The 26,164-nt window shown below is 40.7% G+C and overlaps 1 protein-coding gene across 2 annotated transcripts in view; it reads right to left on the bottom strand.

Annotated features, from left to right (window-relative positions):
• OGT (O-linked N-acetylglucosamine (GlcNAc) transferase) overlaps positions 532–26,164 on the bottom strand; it is a 42,789-nt gene continuing 17,156 nt past the window's right edge. For both annotated transcript variants that reach the window (NM_181672.3, NM_181673.3), the window contains exons 6-22: positions 21,832–21,911; positions 21,039–21,234; positions 20,330–20,470; positions 19,644–19,744; positions 19,319–19,472; positions 19,128–19,229; positions 18,752–18,931; positions 16,999–17,157; positions 16,747–16,836; positions 14,524–14,649; positions 13,407–13,577; positions 13,178–13,294; positions 12,925–13,095; positions 11,671–11,823; positions 8,672–8,924; positions 8,308–8,431; positions 532–2,804 (exon numbers count right to left, since the gene is read on the bottom strand). In NM_181672.3, coding sequence (NP_858058.1) covers positions 2,630–2,804; positions 8,308–8,431; positions 8,672–8,924; positions 11,671–11,823; positions 12,925–13,095; positions 13,178–13,294; positions 13,407–13,577; positions 14,524–14,649; positions 16,747–16,836; positions 16,999–17,157; positions 18,752–18,931; positions 19,128–19,229; positions 19,319–19,472; positions 19,644–19,744; positions 20,330–20,470; positions 21,039–21,234; positions 21,832–21,911 — 2,493 coding nt within the window. In that variant the 3' untranslated portion in view covers positions 532–2,629. The remainder of the gene's footprint in view (positions 2,805–8,307; positions 8,432–8,671; positions 8,925–11,670; positions 11,824–12,924; positions 13,096–13,177; positions 13,295–13,406; positions 13,578–14,523; positions 14,650–16,746; positions 16,837–16,998; positions 17,158–18,751; positions 18,932–19,127; positions 19,230–19,318; positions 19,473–19,643; positions 19,745–20,329; positions 20,471–21,038; positions 21,235–21,831; positions 21,912–26,164) is intronic.

Here is a 26,164-nt window from a genome sequence, read left to right as displayed (position 1 = left end):
ATGGGTGTGTTGGGGATCACAGGCTTTGTCTTTTTTTTTTTTTGAGATGACATCTCACTCTGTTGTCCAGGCTGGAATGCAATGGCACGATCTCAGCTCACTGCAACCTCTGCCTCCCGGGTTCAAGCGATTCTCCTGTCTCAGCCTCGCATGTAGTTGGGATTACAAGCGTGTGCCACCACTCCCGGCTAGTTTTTTTGTATTTTTAGTAGAGACAGGGTTTCACCATGTTAGCCAGGCTGGTCTTGAACTCCTGACCTCAAGTGATCCACCTGCCTCCGCCTCCCAAAGTGCTGGGGTTACAGGCGTGAGCCACCACACAAGGCCACTTTGCCTTCTTAATGGATCATAAACTAACCCCACCCTCTACCAGACCTGGCTGAGAAAACAATTCCTAATATCATAGCTACAGTAGGGAAATTTGGTCCTTTCATGCTGTTTGGAGGTGTTTAAATATAGGTTTCATCATTGGATGACACTATTCTTCAGTCCAACACTCAATATAACAGGATACAAAATACATCAGCCGTATTAAAGGGAAATCATTCATTTATTAAGGATCGCAAGACAACATCTTAATTTCTGTAGTACGATTTAAATGTTTTACTTCTTTGATAAAGCAGAGTACAATAGAAAAAAAACAATTAGTTTCCAGTAATATCTATATCTCTAATCAGAATTAAGTCTTCCAAGACATATTACCTGGAAATAAAAGCCTGTTACAATAAGCAAAGCTTCAACCAGAGCGGCTACTTTTCGTGCCAGGAAAAAGTTCATCCCTATAGGAGGAATGATGTGCTATGTAAAATGGCTGTAAGGTCACAGCCTTGAGGGCATTGGAAGTATATTATCCTATTCCACATTAAGTATTTCAGCGAATTTCAAACATCAGTTTATCTGCAACCATGCTGGCAACCTTTAACTGATATTTCAATCAACCGGTAAAAAATAAATTAAGAAATCCCTTCACGGATATTCCGTGATTTACACTGTTAAAAGGTACACTGTTCATTAACATGTAATTCTGGTTCAGAATTACCTTTGAGACTCCTTGCTCAAAATTTGGTTAACAGTAAGAATCTTCCAGAAATTCAAGTTCTTATTAATCAATAATTTGTCAGCTAGGATACATTCAGGCATCAGCTGCAACTACAGAATAGGTGCACAGCCTCAGCGCTTTGGAAAGACATAATCTAGAACACTACTAGCAGACAAAAAATTACCTGCAACTGGATAGCGTAAGTGCAGTATAGCGAGACAAAACATATATTCATATGTTGGCTTGTTTAAGCCTCAAACCCTCGACCCTTTGTTGAGATCCCATAATTTTATTCCTATGATTTTAATAACTCAAGTTCCAGGAGGACTATAAGTCTAATTTGTACTCCAAACCAAACAGCAGTGCAGTTCGCTACTACTGAGGCTGAATCTGTACAGACTTCAAGACCAAGTCCAGAAGACAGTTATTATCTAAAAAATAATTACTTGAATACATAGATGATCCTTCAGAGATTTTACCTATAACCTATTTCTTGATGAAGGTTATTTAATGCACTGGAGATAACTGTGACTTACTGATCAAATACTTGAATACTTATACTTACCTGGGATTTCATTTCTGCTGAAAGAAATAGGAAGAACAGGACTCACTTAAAAAAAAAAAAAAAAAACTTTAGAAAGGAAGGTAAAAATCTTACACACACTATCACTTTTGGAAGCAGCATAGAAGGGGCAGTCAAGGGTAAAACACTGGTGAAACAGGTCAAAATTAGGAAAAAAAAAAAAACTATATTATTATCAATGACAGTACCACAACTGTGCCCTTGATAATTAGTAATCACTCCTAAAAATCTTCATTTGGCACCAGATGGTGTGTTTAAAACACCCTAGGATGTTTTGAATCAGGCTTGATTTTGTTAGTTGAGTTACAGGAGAATTTTAAGGGTGAGGGTATGGGGGTCAGGGAAGAAAAGGAAATGGGAAATGGACCAGAAAAAATCTTGAGTCATCATCTAAATCAACAAAGCACTGATAGCTCCAAATATTAGGTCAGACACTAAAACGACTGATATAGGCTCAAGTGGTTTATAAAACCTATAAAAAGACTACACCAGCAAAGTCCCTGTCAATCTGTCAGAGTTCAGAAACTAAAACAGGGAGTAACATTTTAGCTTAAAACCTTATCTCAAGAGAATCATATACACTTCACATGAATAAAAATACCTGAAACCAAACATTTTTAAAAGCTCCAGTACCCAAAATATAAAGAAAAAAAAATCCAGAAGACTGAATCAATCCATGGAATCACAAAGCGGCCGGACAATCTATATCTCCCCTCCACACTAACCATCCCATGGAAGACCAAGGGAGATCAGACCTTCCAGACCTATGCACCATCTGGTCGCCGCAAAATTCTACGGAGATTCCTTGTGGAAAAGCAGTTTCCCATCTTTTGTGTCTCTCCCTACCATGCAGGAAGCAAGTCTGGCTGTGCTATTCTATTACCATTATATATCACCCATCTGCAACAAGGTACTGTACAGACAAGTAAGAAGTATGTTATCTAGTTCCCTTTCCCCCAGAAGGTTGAGGCTCAGGTATAGGGGTAATTCTCCTGTGCAGTCTTTATTTATGCTGACTCAGTGACTTCAACAGGCTTAATCATGTGGTCAGGTTTGTTGCCAGCTGCATAATGCTCCCACATCTGTAGATAGAGCCGCTCTAGTTCCATTGTGTATTGTTTGGTGTTGAACAGAGGGCTAGATATTCTTTGCTTCCAGACTTTGCCACGAACTTTCTTCAGGCTGGGTAATAAAAAACAAGAACCCAGTTTACAAATCAGAGCAGAAACTCAGAAACACACCCTATAAATACCTAGTCGCATTTGTGGCAAAAAATGCATGACCAAACTCTACGCTATCTCATTTCTTGATTGGCTTCGTGCTAAAAAGGGAAGGGTCACATCTTGCATAATGCTAACACTGAAATGAGCTCAACTCCATATACTCTGAAAAAACTTAGTTCTTTCCTAAACAAGTATATCCAAGGGATACCACGCGTTCTCCATTTCGTCTTGTTTCTACCTTTAAAATAACAAGAATTGACAACGGCACATGACTATTCCTATGTACTGTTGCTTACCTTTTTGGTAAGCAATTTAGCAAGTATGTATTAACCTTAAATGTTCATAACCCTCTGGCCTAACAGTAACACTTTAAAATCTATTAAAAAGAAATAATCAGATGCAAAAACATACAGGACCATGCAAAGATATTCATTGAAGCATCATTTACAAAAGTTAAAGCATAAACATAAGATGAAGTATTCGATTTATGGTCATTTTGATGAAACAGAAAACCACTCAAGGGGAAAAGAAATACAATAAGTCTACTCTCGTAATTTTCCACTTGTACCTGAACTGAGTTCAGATTTTTAAAAATTGCTAATATCACCAAGAGTATGGTTCTGTTCAGAAAAATAAAAAAGAAGTAATTGATTCTTCAGGAAACACAGGGGAAAAGATTTCTACTTCCCTTTTGAATATATTTTTCATGAGATTATTCTTAGATGAAGGGATAAATACTTTAGAACCAGAAGCCAGAACATTTCTGTGCATTTTTAAAAGCAATAATTTTTATTTATTTTCTTTTAATTTTTGAAATAGAGTCTCACTCTGTTGCCCAGGCTGGAGTGCAATGGAACGATGATGGCTCACTGCAGACTGAACCTCCTTAGCTCAAGCAATCCTCCTGCCCCAGCCTCCCGGGAAGCTGAGACTACAGGCACGCATCACCACACTCAGCTATTTTTGTATTTTTTGTAGAGATGGGGTCTCGCCATGTTGTCCAGGCTGGTCTCGAACTCCTGGGCTCAAGCAATCCTCCTCCCTCAGCCTCTTAAAGCGCCGGGATTATAGGCATGCGCCACCACGCCCAACTTTGTTTTAATGTTTGTTGTGACAGAAGCAGTAAAATGGTTGTGCATATCTGTTGGTCTCAATACAACCATGTCCATATTAATGCTACCCTCCAAAGAGAAAGACCTGTGCACTCTATTTTTTTAAAATTCTATGCCAATAGGAAAATAAACTGTAGTGCATTCATACAGTGAAATACTACTCAGCAAAAGAAATAAACTTGATGAAAGAAGCCTTTAGAGTGCATATTGACATAGTTCCATTTGGATAAAATTCTAGAAAAGCAAAACTAATTTATGGAAGGGAAAAAAACCCTCCAGAACAGTGGTTGTCTCTGGGGGTTGGTGAAAAAGACTGACTGATAAGGAGCATGAAGAAACTCTCTGGAGTGATAATGTTTTTTGTCTTCATAGGAATTTGGGTTACAAAGGTATTTCTCGGTTGGGCACTGTGGCTCACACCTGTAATCCCAGCACTTTGGGAGGCCGAGGCAGGTGGATCACAAGGTCAGGAGATCAAGACCATCCTGGCTAACACGGTGAAACCCCATCTCTACTAAAAATATGAAAAATTAGCCGGGTGTGGTGGTACGTGCCTGTAGTCCCAGCTACTCAAGAGGCTGAGGCAGGAGAATCGCTTGAACCCAGGAGGCAGAGGCTGCAGTGAGCCAAGATCACACCACTGCACTCCAACTTGGGCGACAGAGCAAGACTCCGTTTCAAAACGAAAAAAAAAAGGGTTATTTCTCAAAACTCACTGAATATTTGTGTATTTCACTGTATATAACTTCCGCCTCAAAAGAAAAAAATGGCCAGGCGCAGTGGCTCACGCCTGTAATCCCAACACTTCAGGAGGCCAAGGCAGGTGGATCACTTGAGGTCAGGAGTTTGAGACCAGCCTGGGCAACCTGCCAAAACCCTGCCTCTACTAAAAATACAAAAATTAGCTAGGTGTGGTGGCTCATGCTTGTATTTCCAGCTATTCAGGAGTTTGAGGGGAAGACTGCTTGAGCCCGGGAGGCGGAAGTTGCAGTGAGCGGAGATCGTATCACTGTACTCCAGCCTGGGAAACAGAGGGAGACCCTACCTCAAAAAAATATATGTGTACTGAACTCCAGTTAATGACAGCCAATCTTAAGTATTTAAGGAGAAGTGTACTGATGTCTGCAATTTATTTCAAAATGTGTCCAATAAGATGGATTGGCAGATGAATAAAGGGAATAAATGGATGAATAGATATGTAATAAAGCAAGAATAGTAAAATGCTAATGGTAGATTCTAAGCAGTAGGTATAGATGTGTTTATTATAAAATTAAAAATTTTGAGAACAAAAATGTTGAGGAAAAGCATTGTATGAACCAAACTAAGTACCAAAGAGTCTAATAAAAATTTTAAAATGCACCACAGGCTGGGTGCAGTGTCTCACGCGCCTGTAATCCCGCCACTTTGGGAGGCCGAGGTGGGTGGACTGCTTGGGCCCAGGAGTTACCAGCCTGGGCAATATTGGTGAGACCCTGTCTCCACAAAATATTAAATTAAAAAAAAAAAAAAGCCAGGCATGGTGGCATGTGCCTGTAGTCCCAGCTACTGGAAGGCTAAGGTGGGAGGATCACTCGATCCCAGGAGGCAGAGGTTGCAGTGAGCCGTGATCATGCCACTGCACTCCAGCCTGAGTTAACAGAGTGAGACCCTGTCTGAAAATAAAACGCACTACATTTTTTACTATAGTTATCTCTGGGCTAATGGACATGAATCTTATTTTTTTTTTAATGCCTGGGTTCAAATTTCTCACTTTTCTTAGACGTATGTGATGTTCTATGGAGGAAATTCTGAAAATAATAAGTAGCTAACATCTGCTGAATGTTTACCAGATACCAACAACTATTCTAAGTACTTTACATGGAATGCCTTTTTTAATCCTCACATCATCTCTGCAAAGTAGGCACTAGCATTATGCTCCATTTTGCAGAAGAAGAAACCAAGGCACAACACAGAGATTTATTTGCCCAAAGTCTCAAAACTCATAAGTAGGAGAGCTTGGGTTCACTCAGGTAGTCTGACTCAAAAAGTATGTTTCTTTAATTATTATGTAATATGCTACTTCTCAGAAAAACACAAAGAAAAAACATCACCCATTATACCGAAAGAAAAACCTCATTTAAGAAATACCCGTCAGGCACGGTGGCTTATGCCTGTAATCCCAGCACTTTGGGAGGCCAAGGTGGGTGGATCACGAGGTCAGGAGTTCGAGACCAGCCTGGCCAGCATAGTGAAATCCAGCCTCCACTAAAAATACAAAAATTAGCTGGATGTGGTGGTGGATGCCTGTAATCCCAGCTACTCAGGAGGCTGAGGCAGGAGAATCGCTTGAACCCGGGAGGCAGAGGTTGCAGTGAGCCGAGATCGTGCCATTGCACTTCAGCCCGGGCAACAGTGCGAGGCTGTCTCCAAAAAAAAAAAAAAAAAAAAAAAAAACGCCAGGCACAGTGGCTCACTCCTGTAATCGCAGCACTTTGGGAGGCCAAGGTGGGTGGATCACGAGGTCAGGAGTTCAAGACCAGCCTGGCCAACATGGTGAAACCCCGTCTCTACTAAAAATACAAAAATTAGCCGGGCGTGGTGGCGTGCACCTGTAGTCCCAGCTACTCGGGAGGCTGAAGCAGGAGAATTGCTTGAACCCGGGAGGTGGAGGTTGCAGTGAGCCGAGATCGCGCCACTGCACTCCAGCCTGGGCGACAGAGCGAGACTCCGTCCAGAAAAAAAAAAGGAAAAGAAAAAAGAAATATCCAGCCTGGGCAACATATTGAAACTTAATCTCTACAAAAAAATTTAAAAATTAGCCAGGCATGGGACATGGTGGCATGTACCTATAGTCCTATGGTCCCTGCTACTCAGGTGGCTGAGGTGGGAGGATCACCTGAGCCCAGGACGTGGAGGCTGCAGTGAGCCAAGATCACCCCACTGCATTCCAACCTAGGCAACAGAGTAAAATCCTATCTCAAAAAAAATAAAAGAATGAAAGAAATACTAGTTTATTGTATGGATAAATCCTCCTCATCTAAGCATCACCCCTCTAATTCCTACTCATTTTCAGGCATTTAAGTTATGCTTTGTTTATTTCTTACACCGACCGTAGTGAAGAAGTGACAGTATTAGGGTCAAAGATCTAACTTTTTCTTTTGAGACAGAGTCTCGCTCTGTTGCCCAGGCTGGAGTGCAGTGACGCAATCTCAGCTCACTGCAAGCTCCGTCTCCTGGGCTCATGCCATTCTCCTGCCTCAGCCTCCCAAGTAGCTGGGACTACAGACGCCCGCCACCATGCCTGGCTAATTTTTTGTATTTTTAGTAGAGGGGGGTTTCACCGTGTTAGCCAGGATGGTCTCCATCTCCTGACCTCGTGATCCGCCCACCTCGCCCTCCCAAAGTGCTGGGATTACAGGCGTGAGCCACCGCACCTGGCCCAAAGATCTAACTTTTAAGGCTCTAAAAACTCTGAGGAAGGGCTGTACCAATTTATTCACCAATGCATAAAAAGGCTAGTCCTCAATGCTACCTCACTGATACAAAAAATCTTTTTATTGTATAGGCAAATAATGGATATACCTCAGGTTCTTTTTTTGGTTTTTTTTGTTTGTTTGGTTTTTTTTTTGTTTGTTTGTTTTTGTTTTTGTTTTTGTTTTTGAGATAGAGTCTCACTATGTCACCCAGGCTGGAGTGCAATGGTGCGATCTCGGCTCACTGCAACCTCTGCCTCCCGGGTTCAAGCGATTCTCCTGCCTCAGCCTCCTGAGTAGCTGGGACTACAGGCACATGCCACCACACCCAACTAATTTTTGTATTTTTAGTAGAAACAGGGTTTCACCATGTTGGCCAGGCTGGTCTCGAACTCCTGATCTCAAGTGATCCGCCCGCCTAAGCCTCCCAAAGTGCTGAGATTACAGGCATAAGCCACCACACCCAGCCTCAATTCCATTTTAATTGGCATTTCTACTACAGAGCCTGAAACACTTTCTTGTTAACCTTTTGTATTTCCACTTCAGTGAGGTGTCTGGTCATTTCCATTTTTACTTTCCTATTAGGGGATTATAAAATTTAAATGTTCTGCAGTCTTTACATTGCCAGGTAATTAATACTTTGTTATCTGAGACAAAAGATTTTTTCCCCTCGTTTGCTTTTTAATTTTCTTGAATATTTTTTATTCAGCCATTTACTTTTTACATAGTAAAACCTATTGATCACTTCATTTCTAAGAGTTTAGAAGTACTTCTCCCATCCAGAGGGCATACAACTAGTTCACCTATTTTATATTACACTTATTTTATGGTTTCATTTTATAACAGCTATATTCTCTCTACTTTACCAAATAATTTGTTCAAGGAAAAGTTTACTTACTATTCTAGATCAGTTCCCAGCTTCACAGCTATGTCTTCATATTCTTGTCTGTTTTTAGCAATAAGCTCAAGACAACCTAAGCAAGTGAGCTGGGATGCTGCAACTCGAGAAGCAAGAGTCTCTCCTGTAATACAAAAGATAACAACTGCACATCTGAGAACGTAAAACAGCACAGAGTTAATGTTATTTATGTTAAGCCTCCACACAACGCAGATGAAGAGAATGAAGTGAGAACAAGTCTCACTTTCTATCACCTTTCCTTTAATGTTGCTCCTAGTACATATAATTTCACCTGGAAGTTTCTCCCCCAAACGGAGATTTTCAAAGGAACAAGGAAGATTCCAGTGATTTATCAGCAACTTACCTGGCATAGTCACCATGGGGGTCCCTGCCCAGAGGACATCCATCCCTGTGGTGTGCCCATTACAGAGTGGAGTGTCCAAGCAGACATCAGCCAGCTGGCCTCTCCTGACGTGTTCCTCTTTAGGAGCAACAGGTGAAAAAATGATACGGTTCTGGGGCAGGCCCATGTTTTGTGCATACTGTTGAATATTAGGTTCTCCTACTGCTGGAAAACGCAACAGCCAGAGTACACTATTGGGAACACGCTTCAGAATCTAAAATAGGGAAAATAAGAATAATTATTAATAGCAGATCTGCCTTTTTCAACAAAGACTCCCAGAGGTCTCTAATAATTCTACCACACTCTATTCTTTCCATCCAGATAGAAGCCTGCTGTGGACTTAAGTCTTTCCTTCACAGAGATGAATGAGATCAATTGAATTATCCCTCTTCTGCTTAGCTGTCCTCAAAGTGAGTTCAAAGAAAGACAGGCAAAATCTGAGGCAGCTACCTCCTGCGGGAATTGACACAGGCAGTGGGTTTTGCTGAGAGAGGAATTTTGCATTCCAAATTTCAAATCCCCCACTATGATACAACCAAGAAAGTTACCTCACACTTGCCTAACTTTCTTTGCCTAATATAAATCGGTCTTTTCTGTAAAGGGCCAGATAGCAAATATTTTTGGTTCTGTGGCCACATGGACTGTCATAGCTGCTCAGTTCTTCTGCTGTAGCTTGAAAGCAGCCACAGACAATGTGTAAACAAGTAGGCATAGCTATGTGTCCATTAAGTTTTATTTACAAAAACAAGCAGTGGGCTGGATTTGACCCACAGGTCATAGTTTGCCAACTCCTGATTTAGATTTACATCTACTCTATGTACCATGTAAGTTCAAAATCCCTTTCTCTGAAAGCTATGAGAACAGATGAATTTCCAAATTCAGAATATTTCAGATTTTAAAAAAGTAGTACTGTGTGTGTATGTATCACATTAACACCCTCAGCAGCAACTTCCTATAAACATATTAGTACCTCTGCATTGAGATGCAGGAACAGTCATACTAAATGAAATAAATAAAAGACTACAAATACCCTGACATAGTTTGACTGTGTCCCCCACCCAAATCTCTCTTCTTGAACTGCAGTTCCCATAAGCCCCATGTGTCATGGGAGGGACCCAGTGGTAGGTAATTGAATCATGGACAGTTATTTCCAATGCTGCTGTTCTTGTGATAGAGAGTGAGTTCTCACAAGATCGGATGGCTTTATAAGGGGCTTTCCCCGCTTTGGCTCAGCCCTTCTTCCTGCCATCACGCGAAGAAGGACATGTTTGCTCCCTTTTCCGCCGTAACTCTAAGTTTCCTGAGGCCTCCATAGCCACGCGGAACTGTGAGTCAATTAAACCTCTTTCCTTTATAAATTACCCAGTCTCGGGCAGTCCTTTATAGCAGCATGAAAACGGACTAATATATACCCTAATGTTAGTTCAGGTAGTTTTGCTGCCAAACAAATTTGCCACACACTTATGAAAAAGCTTTTGATTTTCAGAGTTTTTGTGAACATCAGGAAGTAAGGATTAAGGACAGTAGACCTGTACTCATCTGCTTCCTCTTCTCTTCTATCCTCCCCTCTCCTCTAAACATAAAACAAAACAGATATCGGGGAAAAAATTAACCAAGGAATTATCTCCAGATTACCTAAAGGTAAAACATGCCATTTTATTTTAGTTCTATGGATTAAGAGCCAGTTATAGCTATCCGATATCCCACTTATGCAAACTTGTCTGATGAACTGAGAGATAATCATATGTACAGATCGACTCCTTCTTGGTTATAACTCTACAATACTACAAGAATGTTAAAAATGGGTGGATGTACATGACAGCATATGCTATCAGTTTAGACCAGGAGTTGGCGAACTACACAGCCTGTGAGCCAAATCTGGCATACTGCCAGTTCGTATAAATAAAATTTTATTGGAACACAGCCACACTCATCATTTACAAAATGCCTATGGTTATTTTCGTGCTACAACGGCAAAGCTGAGTAGACGTGAAACAGCATGGACCACAAAACTGAAAATATTTACCATCTGGCCCTTTAAGAAAAAGTTTGCTGACCCTTTAGACAGAAGAATGCTTTGAATATGTAAATTTAAAAGGTTCACAATGTCATATTTAGACACTGGAAGGAGAAACCAAAAATGCCTGAAAAATCTACATCTCTTGAAGATTATAAATGAGCACAAGGCCAGGTGCGGTGGCTCACACATGTCATCCTAGCATTTTGGGAGGCCAAGGCGGGCAGATCTCTTGAGGCCAGGAGTTGGAGGCCAGCCTAGCCAACATGGTGAAACCCCGTCTACTAAAAATACAAAAAAAAATTACCCAGACATGGTGGCACATGCCTGTAATCCCAGCTACTTGGAAGGCTGAGGCACAAGAATAACTCGAACCTGGGATGCAAAGGTTGCCATGAGCCAAGATCACACCACTACACTGCAGCCCGAACAACAGAGTGAGATTCTGTTTTTTAAAAAAAGGGCATAACCCAGTTGAGTCACATGTAAATAAATAAAATAAATTTTTTAAAAAGTATTTTTAAAAAAAATTTTTTTGAGATGGAGGTTTGCTCTTGTTGCCCAGTCTGGAGTGCAATGGCACGATCTTGGCTCACTGCAACCTCCACCTCCCGGGTTCAAGTGATTCTCCTGTCTCAGCCTCCCGAGTAGCTGGGATTACAGGTGCCTACCACCATGTCCGGCTAATTTTTTGGTATTTTTAATAGAGACGGGGTTTTGCAATGTTGGTCAGGCTGGTCTCAAGCTCCTGACCTCAGGTGATCCACCCGCATCAGCCTCCCAAAGTGCTGGGATTACAGGCGTGAGCCACTGCACCCAGCCAAAAAAAAATTTTAAAAAGAAATGAGCAGAACAGCTCCTAAATGGGAGTGGAAGGACCATCTTCAGCAAGAAGCTCTAGATACAAAATCTTTATTAGTCTCTAACATACTTGCATACTCACGTTTGCCCACATCTGCAAAGTAGAAGGGTCAATTTTATACAACTGATTAAAGTTACAGTATACGATGGCATCTTCTGGTAACCCGTACTGAGAACGGGTGGTTACAATAATGGTACGGGGAACCTCCTCTCCAGTTGCAGCCTTATTGTTGATCTAGAACAAGAAAAAAATGATGGTTATATTTAAAGGCAAAAGGAGTCCAATATTTCAATCCATAAGATCCAAAATGGTATAACCATTAAAAGTCACTGAACCATGAGAAAATATTCATGATATATGAAGTTTAAGAAAAGGCAAACCGTTGCAGCATTATCTTAAGTTGGGGGAGACTGCACTATGAAACTTCTTGCTCTAACCAAAAAAGGTCTCAAAATCCTATTAACGTTCCAACAGCTTTTGATCACTCTTTTCTTCATGAATGAAATGTCCTTTTCTAAATCACATCTACTCTTCAAGGCTAAATTACTCCTCCAAATGGTCTCTTCTCCCAAGAGTGTCTCTCTTCACATTGATCCTCACCGTTTCTGAGCTTCTACATACATAATTAGTTTCATCTTGTAATTCTCACACATTTGAGTACTGCCTTACATTGTTATATAACTATTCCAGGTGTGCAAGGACATCTATGACCTCTAGAGGTCAGAGATCTTTGCCTTACACTCTCTTGATAGAGCTACTTATTTAAGCATGCAATATATTATTTATTGAGTACATACTACATTACTGTGATTAAGACATGGGCTCAGTAATTCAATTCAGTAGAGGATACAAACACAGGGAATTATCATCTGTTGTGCTGTATGTAATGATATATTCCAAACATTACAGAGGTATAAAAGACAGGTACCAATGAAGTAGGGATGGAGACGTTAGCGGTAAGTACGGAAATGGATTCCTGGAAGAGCTGTCTGAACTGAACGTTTGAGTAGGATTTAGCTAGGGAAAGGATGGGTTTACAGAAGCAAGAAACTGTATGGAATCTACACATAGTTCATCATGTAAGAGAGTAAAGCCACAGGCAGGGAATAACAAGATATTAACACAGCAGTTTCTCAGTAAGTAATAATCTGCTGGCTGAATCCAGGAGACTTTTAAAATCAGACACACCTATATAAGATGCACGTTTCCACTAAACTCATTTCCTCATCCATAAAAATGGTGATAATGATACTTGCCTCCTAGAGTTATCATGAGGTTAAGGGAAATAAATGCATACTTGGCGGGACATATAATGGTGTATTATTATCTTCTCACCTGAGTAGTTGCCAGTCCATTGCTAATACTGAATCCATTAATTGTTATTTGAATCTGTCCTCGGTTAATCATTTCAATAACTGCTTCTGCAATAGTATTCATAGGAATAACAGGCATATTAAGAGCTGTGTTACTGCTATCTGCATTGTCTCCTCCATCAGGACACTTCATCTGAAAAAAAAATGCATCATTAGGGAAAAGATCGTGAATGCAGTTAACTTTATTTCAATGACAATACTGACTAGGTTCTGACCTTGACAATTTTCACATCTGGTAGACTATCAAGAAATGCTTTGAGGTCGATGCCATTCAGAACTATCCGATTGTCATAAATGTGCCCATTGGACTTAAAATCGATGACTGCTTTTTTCTAATGGAAAAAATAGTTTCAGACATGTCTTTTAGGATTTACATAGACAATAGCAAGGAAATAAAAAGCTACAGTTCTTTGAAATTCGTCCATAGCACTGTTTCATACCTACCTTCAGGTGAGGGAACATATTAGCATGATCACCAATAAAAAAAGTGTGGGGCATATAAGCCAATTTCTCGGAATACTGCTCAGCAACTTCAGCTGGCGAAGTTTCCTGATCAGTGATAATATAATCCATGAAAAGCGCACCACTCGTCCCAGGGTATCCCAGCCACATTGCCTTAAAAAAATCAGATCAAAAACTGATTAAGAACTTTTATCAGTACACTTACCTCTAAATTCATCAAGTCACATACATTAAATATGTACAACTTTTTGTATGTCAACTGTACCTCAATAAAGTGGTTTTTAAAAAAAGAACCTAAAGGTGCCAAAATTAAATAAGTAAATAAACAAGGAGGTCTAACTCTTTTTTAGAGACAGGATCTCACTCTGTTCCCTAGGCTGGAATACAGTGGTGCAATCGTAGATCACTACAGCCTCAAACTCCTGGGCTCAAGCAATCCTTCTGCCTCAGCCTCCAGAGTAGCCAGGATTACAGGCACTTGCCACACGCACAGCAAGGCTGACTTCTTTAGCCGAAAGCAATGAAGCAGTTCTATAAGAGAGACTCTTACTCTGTCACCTGGGCTGGAGTGCAGTGGCATAGTGATAGTTCACTGCAGCCTCAAACTCCTAAGCTTAAGCAATCCTTCCACCTTAGCCTCCCAAATAGCTGGGATCACAGAGGCACACCACCACTCTGGCTAATTTTTTAATTTTTTGTAGAGATAGGGTGTTTTGCTTTGTTGCCCAGGCAGGACTCAAACTCCTGGTTTCAAGAGATCCTCCTGCCTAAGCATCCCAAAGTGCTGGGATTACAGGCGTGAGCCACCATACCCGGCCTGTATTTCAGACTAACTTTCAAAATGCTAAAATGTTCTTCAAATTTGCAAGACAGAGTAACTGTTCATAGCCAACCATGAATTGCATGTCTCTATATACATGTACCTATAAGCACTGTGCTCTACACTCTTTTTGTCCTGTGCATTTCAACAACTTAAAAAAATTAAAAGTATGTCTGCCCTACAGTTTCAAATATCAGTTAACCAGAGGGAGGAAAAGCAGCACCTCACTGTATTCTTAGCCAAATACATGTTATAAGTGATGACTGTTAATTTGTTTACCTGAATAGGAGCTGGCCTGAGAGCAAAAAGCTCATTTCGAGCGCCCTTAGTATAGCCATTCATATTTACAAGGATATGAATTCCATCCTGATGGATGCGATCAGCTGCTTTTCCATTGCATGGAATCTACAGAATACAAAATAAGAACTCACTATGTATAATCTCAGATCAATTAGTTTTAATGACATTTAGTTTTAATGGCATTTAGTTTTAATGGCATTTAACATAATTCAGATTCCCAGATGGAAAAGAGGTAAGAACACAAATTAACTACATTAATTCGGGCACAAATATGGTTGACTGTCATTAAAATGGGCCCAAAGCATTAAAGAAACAGAACACAAAGGAAGGAGAGTTCACTTCTGGATTGAATGTATGAATAACAACATATCACAGAGAAATTGGTATTTGAAATTTGTAATCTTTTTTTTTTTTTTGGTAGGGATGGGGTCTCACTATGTTGCCCATGATGGTCTCAAGCAATCCTTCCACCTCAGCCTCCCAAAGGATTATACACGTGAGCCACAGCACCCAGCCTAGAATTGGTATTTGAAAATAGGTCTTCAAAGACGAATAGGAGTTTGAAGGAGTTTAACAGAATACAATCTCAGTAGAGAACAGTATGAATGAAGAACTAGAGTAAAGTGTGAGGGAGTTTAGAAAATGGTGAGTAGGCCGGGCATGGTGGCTCACATCTGTAATCCCAGCCCTTTGGGAGGCCGAGGCAGGTGGATCACCTGAGGTCAGGAGTTCGAGACCAGCCTGGCCAATGTGGTGAGACCCCGTCTCTACTAAAAATACAAAAATTAGCCGGGTGTGGTGGCAGGCGCCTGTAATCCCAGCTACTCGGGAGGCTGAGGCAAGAGAATCGCTTGAACCTGGGAGGCAAAGATTGCAGTGAGCCGAGATCGTGCCACTGCATTCCACCCTGGGCGACAAGAGCAAAACTCCATCTCAAAAAAAAAAAGGGTGAGTAATTCACTTCTATTTAGTATAGGGTATACAAGATGTTGAATGGTGAGTTAAAGTATTGACAAAGTTGTGGCAAACAGAGAAAGGTTACAAAAGCTATGCTGAAGAGTTTAGACTGCAATCAATCAGCAGTGAGTCCCTAAAGGTCTCAGAGGTAGAAAGAGGTATGCTTCTTGGTCACAAAGAGTCCAACTGTGTATCAAAAATGGCCAGGTATACTTTTGAAGCAACAGCTATACTGCAAAATTTGTTAGTACATACTATTTATTAAATGAGAAGTCTCAAAACCTTTCTGCTAGGACTTCAGTGATTCATATATATATACACATACACATGTATATTTATACATATATGCATACATATCATACCTGCATGTGTATGTACATACATACATGTGTGTACACACACATATAAAGAGTATATTATCTCTATTAGTCAAAGTGGCTAATAGAGTCTACAAAGAAAACACTGTAGCCTACATACTCAGCAAATTAATTCCCCCATAGGTTTCAATCTTAATTTATCATAAAACTTACTCTCCTAGAGGATACAACAATAGAACAAGTACAGAAATAAAGATAACCAAAGGCAAAGGCCCATGGAAACTGATGAACCATAGTTCATCTATTTTTTCTTTTTTTTTTTTTTTTTTTGAGACAGAGTCTTGCTCTTGCCAGGCTGGAGTGCAGTGGTGCGATCTCAGCTTACTGCAACCTCCGCCTCCCGGGTTCAAGCGATTCCCCTGCCTCAGCCTCCCAAGTAGCGGGGATTACAGGAATGCACCACCACACCCAGCTAATTTTTTGTATTTTAGTAGAGACGGGGTTTCACCATGTTAGTCAAGATGGTCTCATCTCCTGACCTCATGATCTGCCCGCCTCGACCTCCCAAAGTGCTGGGATTACAGGCATGAGTCACCACACCCGGCCCTATTTTCTTTAAAAGACCTATTTATTCTTCTCCCAAGTCACCATTTTGTCAATATTTATTAAGTATCTTCTGTCACAAGTGCTGGCTCAATCTCCAGAAAAGTTGTATGTCCAAGCACAAGCATAACACATTTCAGTTTCATTTGCAACCTCGGAAAAAGCCATGCTGATTAACACAAATGATCAAGGAAATAAGATCAACACAATTGCCTATATGTGGTACTACAGCATTTAATACTTATCATCAAAAATAAACTATATGCTAATAGTTTTATTTAAACTTGCTCAAAATAAAAAGTTAAAGTATGAGAGTTTCATCTACCTGAGAAAGATCAATGAAATGATTGGCTTCTGCCATCACCTTCACTCGGAAGTTTGTGCCATCGTCTGGGCTCAGGGCATAACAGAACACCTGAAAGGCAGCACATGGCATATTTAATAACATTGGCTCAAATCTTTCTGGCTCAAATCTTTCCAAAAGACACTAGGTTTCCATGCCTCATGGTGACAAGCCAACATTGTGGGTTTTTTCTTTTTTAAACAAATAGTGATTCTAGAGAAACACTAGTCTTACCTCAAATTTATCAGGATTGTGCATGCCTGGAATAGACTGCATAAGGTGAGAAGTAGGATGATTCCCAAAGTCGGAACTCACATATCCTACACGCAGCCGACCATCACTGAGCTTCAAGTCTTTTGGATGTTCATATGGTGGTTTATGAAGAACATTAATCTATCAACAGAATCCAATGCTTGTTAGTAAAATCTACATAAATTTTCATCTAGGAAAACTGACGAAAAACACACCAAACCTATACCTCACACCTGTTGAAAAAGGTCTGCCCAGAGCATTTAGTTAATATTGCCAGAGAGATGCAACCTCAGCACTTTATGTAATATGCTTCATACTTTGACCTGCTCCTGAGATCTATAAAGCATGAGCAAATCCCAGCGCTCTGGGAAGCCAAGGAGGTGGATCGCTTGAGGTCAGGAGTTCGAGACCAGCCTGGCCAACACAGTGAAATCCAATCTCTACTAAAAAAAAAAAAAAAAAAAAAATTAGCTGGGCGTGGTGGCACATGCTTGTAGTCCCAGCTACCTGGGAGGCTGAGGTGGGAGAATCGCCCAAACCTGGGAGGTGGAGGTTGCAGTAAGCCAAGGTTGTGCCACTGCACTCCAGCCTGGGCAACAGAGCAAGACCCTGTCTCAAAAAAAAAAAAAAAAAAAAAAAAAAGTACGAGCAAATCTAACACTTGTAGGTATGAAGCAGTATGGACAGAGCATGGTTTCCTCCCGCATTTTAGAAAATTCTATAGGGAAACATTTTCTAAAAACAAAATTATGGCTGGGGGCAGTGGCTCATGCCTGTAATCCCAGCACTTTGGGAGGCTGAGGCAGGTGGATCACCTGAGGTCAGGATTTCGAGACCAGCCTAGCATGGCAAAGCCCTATCTCTACTAAAAATACAAAAATTAGCCAGGCGTGGTGGCACACGCCTGTAATCCTAGCTCCTCGGGAAGCTAAGGCACGAGCATCACTTTAACCTGGGAGACAGAGGTTGCAATGAGCTGAGATGGCACCACTGCACTGCAGTCTGGATGACAGAGACACTATGTCTCAAAAAAAAAAAAAAAGTACACCTAGCACTCCAATCTATTATCCAACCTTTGATCCAATCCTTGATCAAGTACTGCTCTAATTCTCAAAGGTGAATACAAAATACCAAGCACTCCATTAAACATGATGGCTGGCCAGGCGCGGTGGCTCACACCCGTAATCCCAGCACTTTGGCCGGGCGAGGTGGGCAGATCACTTGAGCCCAGAGGTTCAAGACCAGCTTGGGCAACATAGCAAAACCCCATCTCTACAAAAAACACAAAATTAGGTGTGGTGGCATGCGCCTGTAGTCCCAGCTACTCAGGAGGCTGAGGTGGGAGGATCACCTAAGCTCGGGGAGGTCAAGGCTGCAGTAAGCCATGATCACACCGCTGCACTCCAGCCTGGGCGACAGAGCAAGACCCCGTCTCAAAAAAAAAAGAAAAAAAAGATAAAAGAAAAAAAAATTATGGCTTTCAACTTAAAGAAAAGTACCATCAGTCTATCATTAGTGTTTAAGTGAAGGAGTTAAGGATTCCGTCTTATGAAGTGCAGGGGGTTATACTCAGGACACAATGGAAGGGGTTCTGAAGTGGCCCACAAAAGTTTTATTTCTCGACTTGGGTGGTGTTCACTTTATAATCGTTCATTAAGCCACAGATTTGATTTTTACAGTTTTCTGTATTTGTGTTTTAGTTTACAACAAAAAGATTAAAACAAAAGAATCACACCTTATCTAAGCACAGGTTGCCGTGCCTCTCAGCAATAGCCTTCCTGAAGCCATGAGAAAGAGGATATAGCATACTATGATGAGGATGCACAGAAGGCAACCTATTCTTCTCTAACTGGTCAGCCACAATACTGACCAACTTCTTCATTCGCTCATCATAGTCTGTCCAATCACAGACAATCTAGAGAAAGCAAAAACAAGTTATTATCCAGAAAGTCCTATCCCAGGATTTAATATTTGATATGTCTTTGGCCTAAAGTAATGTCAGATAGCCTATTAAAAATACTATTTCCAGTCAGGCTTGGATTCTTATGGCATACAACAATTAAAAAGCTATTACAACACTGAGAGCCAATTACTGGCCTGTTATTCTTTACCTGCAGGCAATGAGCCAAGTTACAATAAGCATCAGGAAAATCAGGCTTAAGTTTCAGAGCCGTGCGGTAAGAAGCTATGGCTTCTGGAATATTCCCTGAATCCTGGAAAATAAATAAAGCAGGATGGTAAAAAATTTCCAAAAGTTAAATTTTAGGTGTTAAACTGCACATATTATAATAAACAGTAGTACCTTATGAATGGAAGCCAGATTGCTATGTGCATCTGCAAATGCAGGATTAATTTGGATGGCACGCGTATAACACTGCAAGGCTCCCTGAACATCCTGCATCTCCTTTAGAGTGTTTCCCATATTAGAGTAGGCATCAGCAAAGGTAGGACTGATTCTAAAAGAGAAGCCAAAGGTTTTATTTCTCCAATACAAAAATCTTTAACCCACTGTAATGCTAACTTATTCCGTTGTTATTTAAAGCCATTTTAGCATCTGCAATGTGCCGAATGTCAAACATTTTAAAATTAAAAATAATTTTAAAAATAAGGCTGTTAGTGTCTCTTACCGAATAGCCTCCTTATAATGCATCAGAGCTTCCTGCAGTTTTCCCTGCTGCTGCAGTACACTTGCTAAATTTGAATGGGCAGCAGCAAACTCTGGGAAGACCTATAAAGAGTCAAGATCAGAACTGAGGTTAAAAAAATTGCTAAAGCAGCAGTAATAATTCACCACAACCTTAAGAACTTTGCTCAAGTACATTTAAACCCCTAAATTTGTCTCTACTTTTTCCAAGTCTATTCATTCTCAAATTCTACCTCTTCCTCTATTTTATACCTCTTCTTGTTTCAAACATAATGAGGTACACCTCTTCTCCTCTTAGTTTATCCTGACCACTCCAACACCACTGAAATCTCTCTCTGCTAAACTCCTACCACATCTACTAACCACTACCATACAGCCATCAGGCACTAAGATTATATACTTATAAGTAACTTCTCTTGAACTGTGGGTTAATGTTTAATTTTTTTGTACAGATCTTATCCACAGAATAATGAACTCTGAATGCAGGGATTTTCTGGAATGTCACATAGGGCCTCACATCATACCTTAGGTACTCAATTGTTACTTCAATGAATAATCCTCTTGTAAATGATTCAACCACTATTTTTACAAAAGAGGTGGATGATGGTAAACTTAACTGCTTTCCCTCTACTATCATGCTAAATGCCCAGCTACACCACCCTCACATACTTCTAATGCTTTACGATACAAGCGAACTGCCTCTTCAATGTTTCCCTGTTCTCGTTTGATATTGGCTAGGTTATTCAGAGAGTCTGCATGGGTGGGACACAGACGGAGAGCTGTATTATAACAATCTTCTGCTTCAGCAACCTAGAAAACAAAACAAAGTCTTCAAAAACTGTACAGAATCATAAAGCCTCCACTGATACTGTTCTAATAATTGTTTAATTAAGCCTAATGGCTGGTAATGCTACAGAAAATTGATATTTTTTGGTATTCTTACCCTCAACCAAAACTCTAAAGTAAACCAATATACCATCTCAATACTTGTACAAAAGACTTTCCTTTTTTGCTGTTTTTTGGTTTTTGTGATTTTTTTGAGACAGAGTCTCGTGCTCTGTTGCCCAGGCTGGAGTGCTGTGGCACAATCATGGCCCACTGCAGCCTCAACCTCCCAGGACTCAATCGATCCTCCCACCTCGGCCTCCCAAGGAGCTGGGACTACAGGTGTGTGCCACCATGCCCGGCTAATTTTTGTATTTCTTGTAGAGACAGGGTTTCGTCATGTTGCCTAGGCTGGTCTCGAAACCCTAAGCTCAAGCAATCCTCTGATCTCGGCCTCCCGAAGTGCTGGCATTACAAGTGTGAGCCACCACACCTGGCCAGAAAAGACTCTTAATCCTACCAGATAACAAATAGAATGAGTAAAAATCCTTACACTGCCCTTCTCTTTGAGAGCATTGGCTAGGTTGCAGTAAGCATCAGGGAAATGTGGTTGTAGTTCGATAGCCCGCCTGTAGGTGTCTATTGCCAGATCTATCAGGCCTTGCTCATAGTATACACAAGCCAGGTTGCCGTGCACCACTGCGTGATTTGGACTCAAACTTAGGGCACGAAGATAAGCTGCCACAGCTCTGTAAATAAACACACACACACACACACACACACACACACACACACACACACACAAAATGTAACTCATGCTTAATGGATGGTTTGTTACAACTCATTCAAGCTGTACTATATCAAAATATATCAAGTAATTGTAATTAATTACATAATTCATGCTGTATTATATTTTAACCTCAAACCAAAATCACACCTTTATAAAATGTGTCTTTACACTGGGAAGTTTTCTACTCCCACATAAAAAATAGGCTTTCCTTTGACAACAACAAAAAATTTAAAAGTCTGGATTTACTTTGCTTTCTAAAATCAGGTCAAAGGAATAATTTAGTCTAAGAAAGAATCATTTCAACCATTTTAACAATAAAAAAATTTCAACTAAACTCCCAATGAGAAGGATAACGGCTTTGAGGAAAGCCAACAACAAAAAGTCAGGCAACGAACAACATCTATAAATAAAAGGCAACACAGGACATGGGCAGAGAACAACGTGCTAGAAAAGGCAAATATGCTTCAATGGACTATTGTCATCATTTCGGTCCAAACTGTCAAGTGTCAATACAACAAAGATTCAAGAAAATTTATTAAACAGAACATTCTCTCACCTGTCAAAAATGCGTGCCTCTTTCAAGACATTTCCTAAATTGATATAAGCATCCAGAAAGTTTGGGTCAAGGGTGACAGCCTAAAAATTTCAAGACAGTTAGTTACTCAGAGCAAGTTAGGATTTCACCAGATCAACTTCCCAATTACAATTTTTTTACTCCAAGGTCCTTGCAGACTTTCAATTACATTTCATTTTAATAAACCAATTATTTATTTAGTGTCTTCTCATTATTTTTACAAACCTCAACATTATCAAAATAACTTCTCATGCCTCATGTTCTCATGAGCAAAATGGGTCCTGAAGAGAAAAATTAAATATTGGGCCTGCTCCAATTTCATTAAACTGAACACTTCTAATGATTGGCCCTATTTTATTCACAATTAACCAGTCTAACTCTTCTGAAAAATAGTGGCAAAAGAGGCAGCAAACTCTTACTGAAAAGGTAAATATATACCTCAGTTGTATGCATACAAACTACATGCTCAGCAAGACCTTATTAAGACATGCAATTAGAGCTGTATACACAGTAAGATACAATACTTCAAGGAAATACTAACCATTACACGGTGTCATCCAAATAGCTGTCATGTTGTCTAGAGCAGTGATTCTCAACCTTGGCAATATATTAAGAATTTACCTCCTAGAAAAGGTACCGAGGCTCTATCACAGGCCAGTTAAATCAGACCCTCTGAAGATAGGGTCAGGATATTCAGATCTTTTATAAGCTCCTCATGTATAACCAAGGAAGAGAAACACTGATCAAGAAAGATACTCCTACAGCATGGTAAATGCAAACTTCAATCAAAACACCGGCCAGGTGCAGTGGCTCACACATGTAATCCCAGTACTTTGGGAGGCCGAGGTCGGACCACTTGAGGTCAGGAGTTCAAGACCAGCCTGGCCAACATGGTGAAACCCCATCTCTACTAAAAATACAAAAATTACCTGGGCATGGTGATGTGCAACTGTAGTCCCAGCTACTCGAGAGGCTGAGGCATGAGAATGGCTTGAACCCGAGAGGCAGAGGTTACAGTGAGCCAAGATTGCGCCACTGCACTCCAGCCTGGGCAACAGAGCAAGACTGTGTCTCCAAAAACAAAAAACAAAAACAAAAAAAAACACACACACCGAAAAGGTATTTGATTAAGACACTGAGTAATTGTATGTTTATTAAAGACTGATAAAGAACACTTCATCTGCTGGGCGCGGTGGCTCATGCCTGTAATCCCAGCACTTTGGGAGGCCAAGGCGGGCAGATCACTTGAGGCCCGGAGTTCAAGACCACCCTGGCCAACATGGCGAAACCCCGTCTCTACTAAAAAATACAAAAAATTAGCCGGGCATGGTGGCTCACGCCTGTAATCCCAGCTACTCAGGAGGCCGAGGCAGGAGAATTGCTTGAACCTGGGAGGCGGAAGCTGCAGTGAGCTGAGATCGTGCCACTGCACTCCAGCCTGGGCGACAGAGCGAGACTCTGTCTCAAAAAAAAATAAAGAAAGAACACTTCATCTTCACTTAGATGACAACTCTGTAGTAAACACGGCATGATGCATTTAATTTAGATTGTCTATAGTGATAGATGTCCACCCCAAGAACTTTTAAACTTTATAATAGAAATGTTTAAACATATACAAAAGCAGAGGAACATTACGTCCAAGTCTCCATTATCCATTTTCAACAATTCATATATCATGTTTGATCTTATTTAATCTATACTCCAACTTACTCCCCCTCTTCGCAGATCATTTTGAAGCAAAGCCCAGACATATTCCATTCAAAAATACTTCAATATGTATCTCAGGGACAACACAAGAATGCTTTTTCCTCCCAACCTAACCACAATACCATTATCATACCTAACAGAAAAAAAAAAAAAAAAGACAGCAATTCCTTCATATTAAATATCAGCTGGGCGTGGTGGCTCATGCCTGTAATCCTAGCACTTTGAGAGGCCGAGGCAGGCAGACTGCCTGAGCTCAGGAGTTCAAGACCTGGGAACATGGCAAAGCCCTGTCTCCACTAAAAATACAAAAAGCTAGCCGGGCATGATGGCGCACGCCTGTAGTCCCACCTACTCCGGAGGCTGAGGCAAGTGAATCCCTTGAGCCTGGGAGGTGAAGGTTGCAGTGAGCCAAGATCACACCACTGCACTTCAGCCTGGGCGATCAAGTGAGACCCTGTCTCAAAAAAAAAAAAAAAAAAATCCATTCAGTGCTCCAATTTCTCATTAACTGAGTCAGGATCCAAATAAGACAGATATAATTTGTCAATGTGCCTCTCTGAGTTTCTTTTAATCCTTTAAAAGTTTGTGTGTTTATTTATTTATTTTTGGAGACGGAGTGTCACTCATTATTTATTTTTGGAGACGGAGTGTCACTCACTCTGTCGCCCAGGCTGGAGTGCAGTGGCACGATCTTGGCTCACCGCAACCTCCTCCTCCTCCCGGGTTCAGGCAATTCTCCTGCCTCAGCCTCCTAAGTAGCTGGGATTACAGGCACACGCCACCGCACCGCACCCAGCTGTTTTTTTTTTCTTTTGTATTTTGAGTAGAGATGGGGTTGCACCATGTTGGCCAGGCTGGTCTCGAACTCCTGACCTCAAGTGATCCACTCGCCTCAGCCTCCCAAAGTGCTGAGATTACAGGGGTGAGCTACCGCACCCGGCCTAAAAGTTTAATTTAAATCTCCATTTTTATTACAATTTGTTGAAGTAAGAAGGTCAGCTTCCCAAAGTTTGAATTTTGCTGACTGCATCCCTATGGTGTCCTTTAACATGTTTCCTGTCCCGTGTATATCTCCTGTAAATTGGTAGGTAGAACCAGAAGCTTAATTAGGTTTGTGTTCTTTTCTCTTTGTGCAAGACTACTTCACTGGTGAAATTGTTTACCACAAGGTACTTAATACCTGATTGTATCTCGTTTTTGTCACTGATAAATGCTTTAACTTTTTTTTTATTTTTTGAGATGGAGTCTTGCTCTGTCGCCCAGGCTGGAATGCAATGGTGCAATCTCAGCTCACTGCAACCTCCACCTCCCAGGTTCAAGAGATTCTCCTGCCTCCGCCTCCTGAGTAGCTGGGATTACAGGCTCCTGCTACCATGCCTGGCTAATTTTTGTATTTTTAGTAGAGATGGGGTTTTGCCATGTTGGCCAGGCTGGTCTCGAACTCCTGACCTCAGGTGATCCACCTGCCATGGCCTCCCGAAGTGCTGGGATTACAGGCGTGAGCCACCAAGCCCGGCCTAATAAATGCTTTCACTATTAATGGTGATATTCTATCATTCCTTCTTCACTTATTAGCTAGAATGCTTTTATAAAGAAAAGCTTCCCCCATCAACTATTGGGTTACTCTATGGTCTAGTTCATACAGGAGAGGGAAGACATATGCTTTATTCTTTTAATTTTTAAATTTAAAGTTGATATATAATTGTGTATATTTATGGCATACAATGTGATGGTTTGATCCACGTATACATTTTAGAAAGAGTCAACCAAGCTAATTAACATAGCCATCACCTCACTAACTTATTTTTTTGTGGTTGAGGACATTAAAAACCTATTCTTTTTGCAATTTTGAAATATACATTATTAACAACTGTGGTCACCATGCAGTACTACAGATCACTAAAACTTATTCCTCCAGTCTAACTGAAACTTTGATCAATATCTCCCTTTTCCCCATCCCTCCTCCACCCCCCCAAGCCTCACCACCCTTCTACTCTCTGTTTCTATGAAATCAACTTTTTTAGATTCCACAAATAGGTGACATAATACAGTATCTACTTTCTGTGCCTGGTTTATTTCACTTAGCATAAAGCACAGATAACAAAAGCAAAAATATGCAATGAGATTGCATCAAACTAAAAAGCTTCTGCACAGTAAAGGAAACAATTACACAGAGTGAATAGGCAACCCCGGATTAGGAGAAAGCATTTGCAAACTATACAACTGATAAAGGGTTAAGAAGCTCAACTCAGTAGCAAATACGCCCATTAAAATACGGGCAAAGGATCTAAACAGACATTTCTCAAAAGAAGAGGTACAGGCCAGACACAGTGGCTCATGTCTGTAATCCTATCACTTGGGGAGACCAAGGTGGGAGGATCACTTGAGCCCAGGAGTTCGAGGTTGCAGTGAGCTATTATGGCGCCACTGCACTCCAGCCTGGGCAACAGAGCAGGACCTCATCTCAAAAAAACAAAACAAAACAAAACAAAAAAAACAAATGGCAAGCAGATATATAAAAAATATGCTCAACATCACTAATCATCAAGGAAATGCAAAATAAAACCATGAGTTAGCATCTCACACTTGTTAGTATAGCTATCATCAA

Source organism: Homo sapiens, chromosome X (assembly GCF_000001405.40).
Source record: "Homo sapiens chromosome X, GRCh38.p14 Primary Assembly".
Taxonomy (NCBI): Eukaryota; Metazoa; Chordata; class Mammalia; order Primates; family Hominidae; genus Homo; species Homo sapiens.
The sequence above is the reverse complement of the archived record's forward strand: the minus strand, read 5'-3'. Positions and strand labels throughout refer to the sequence as shown.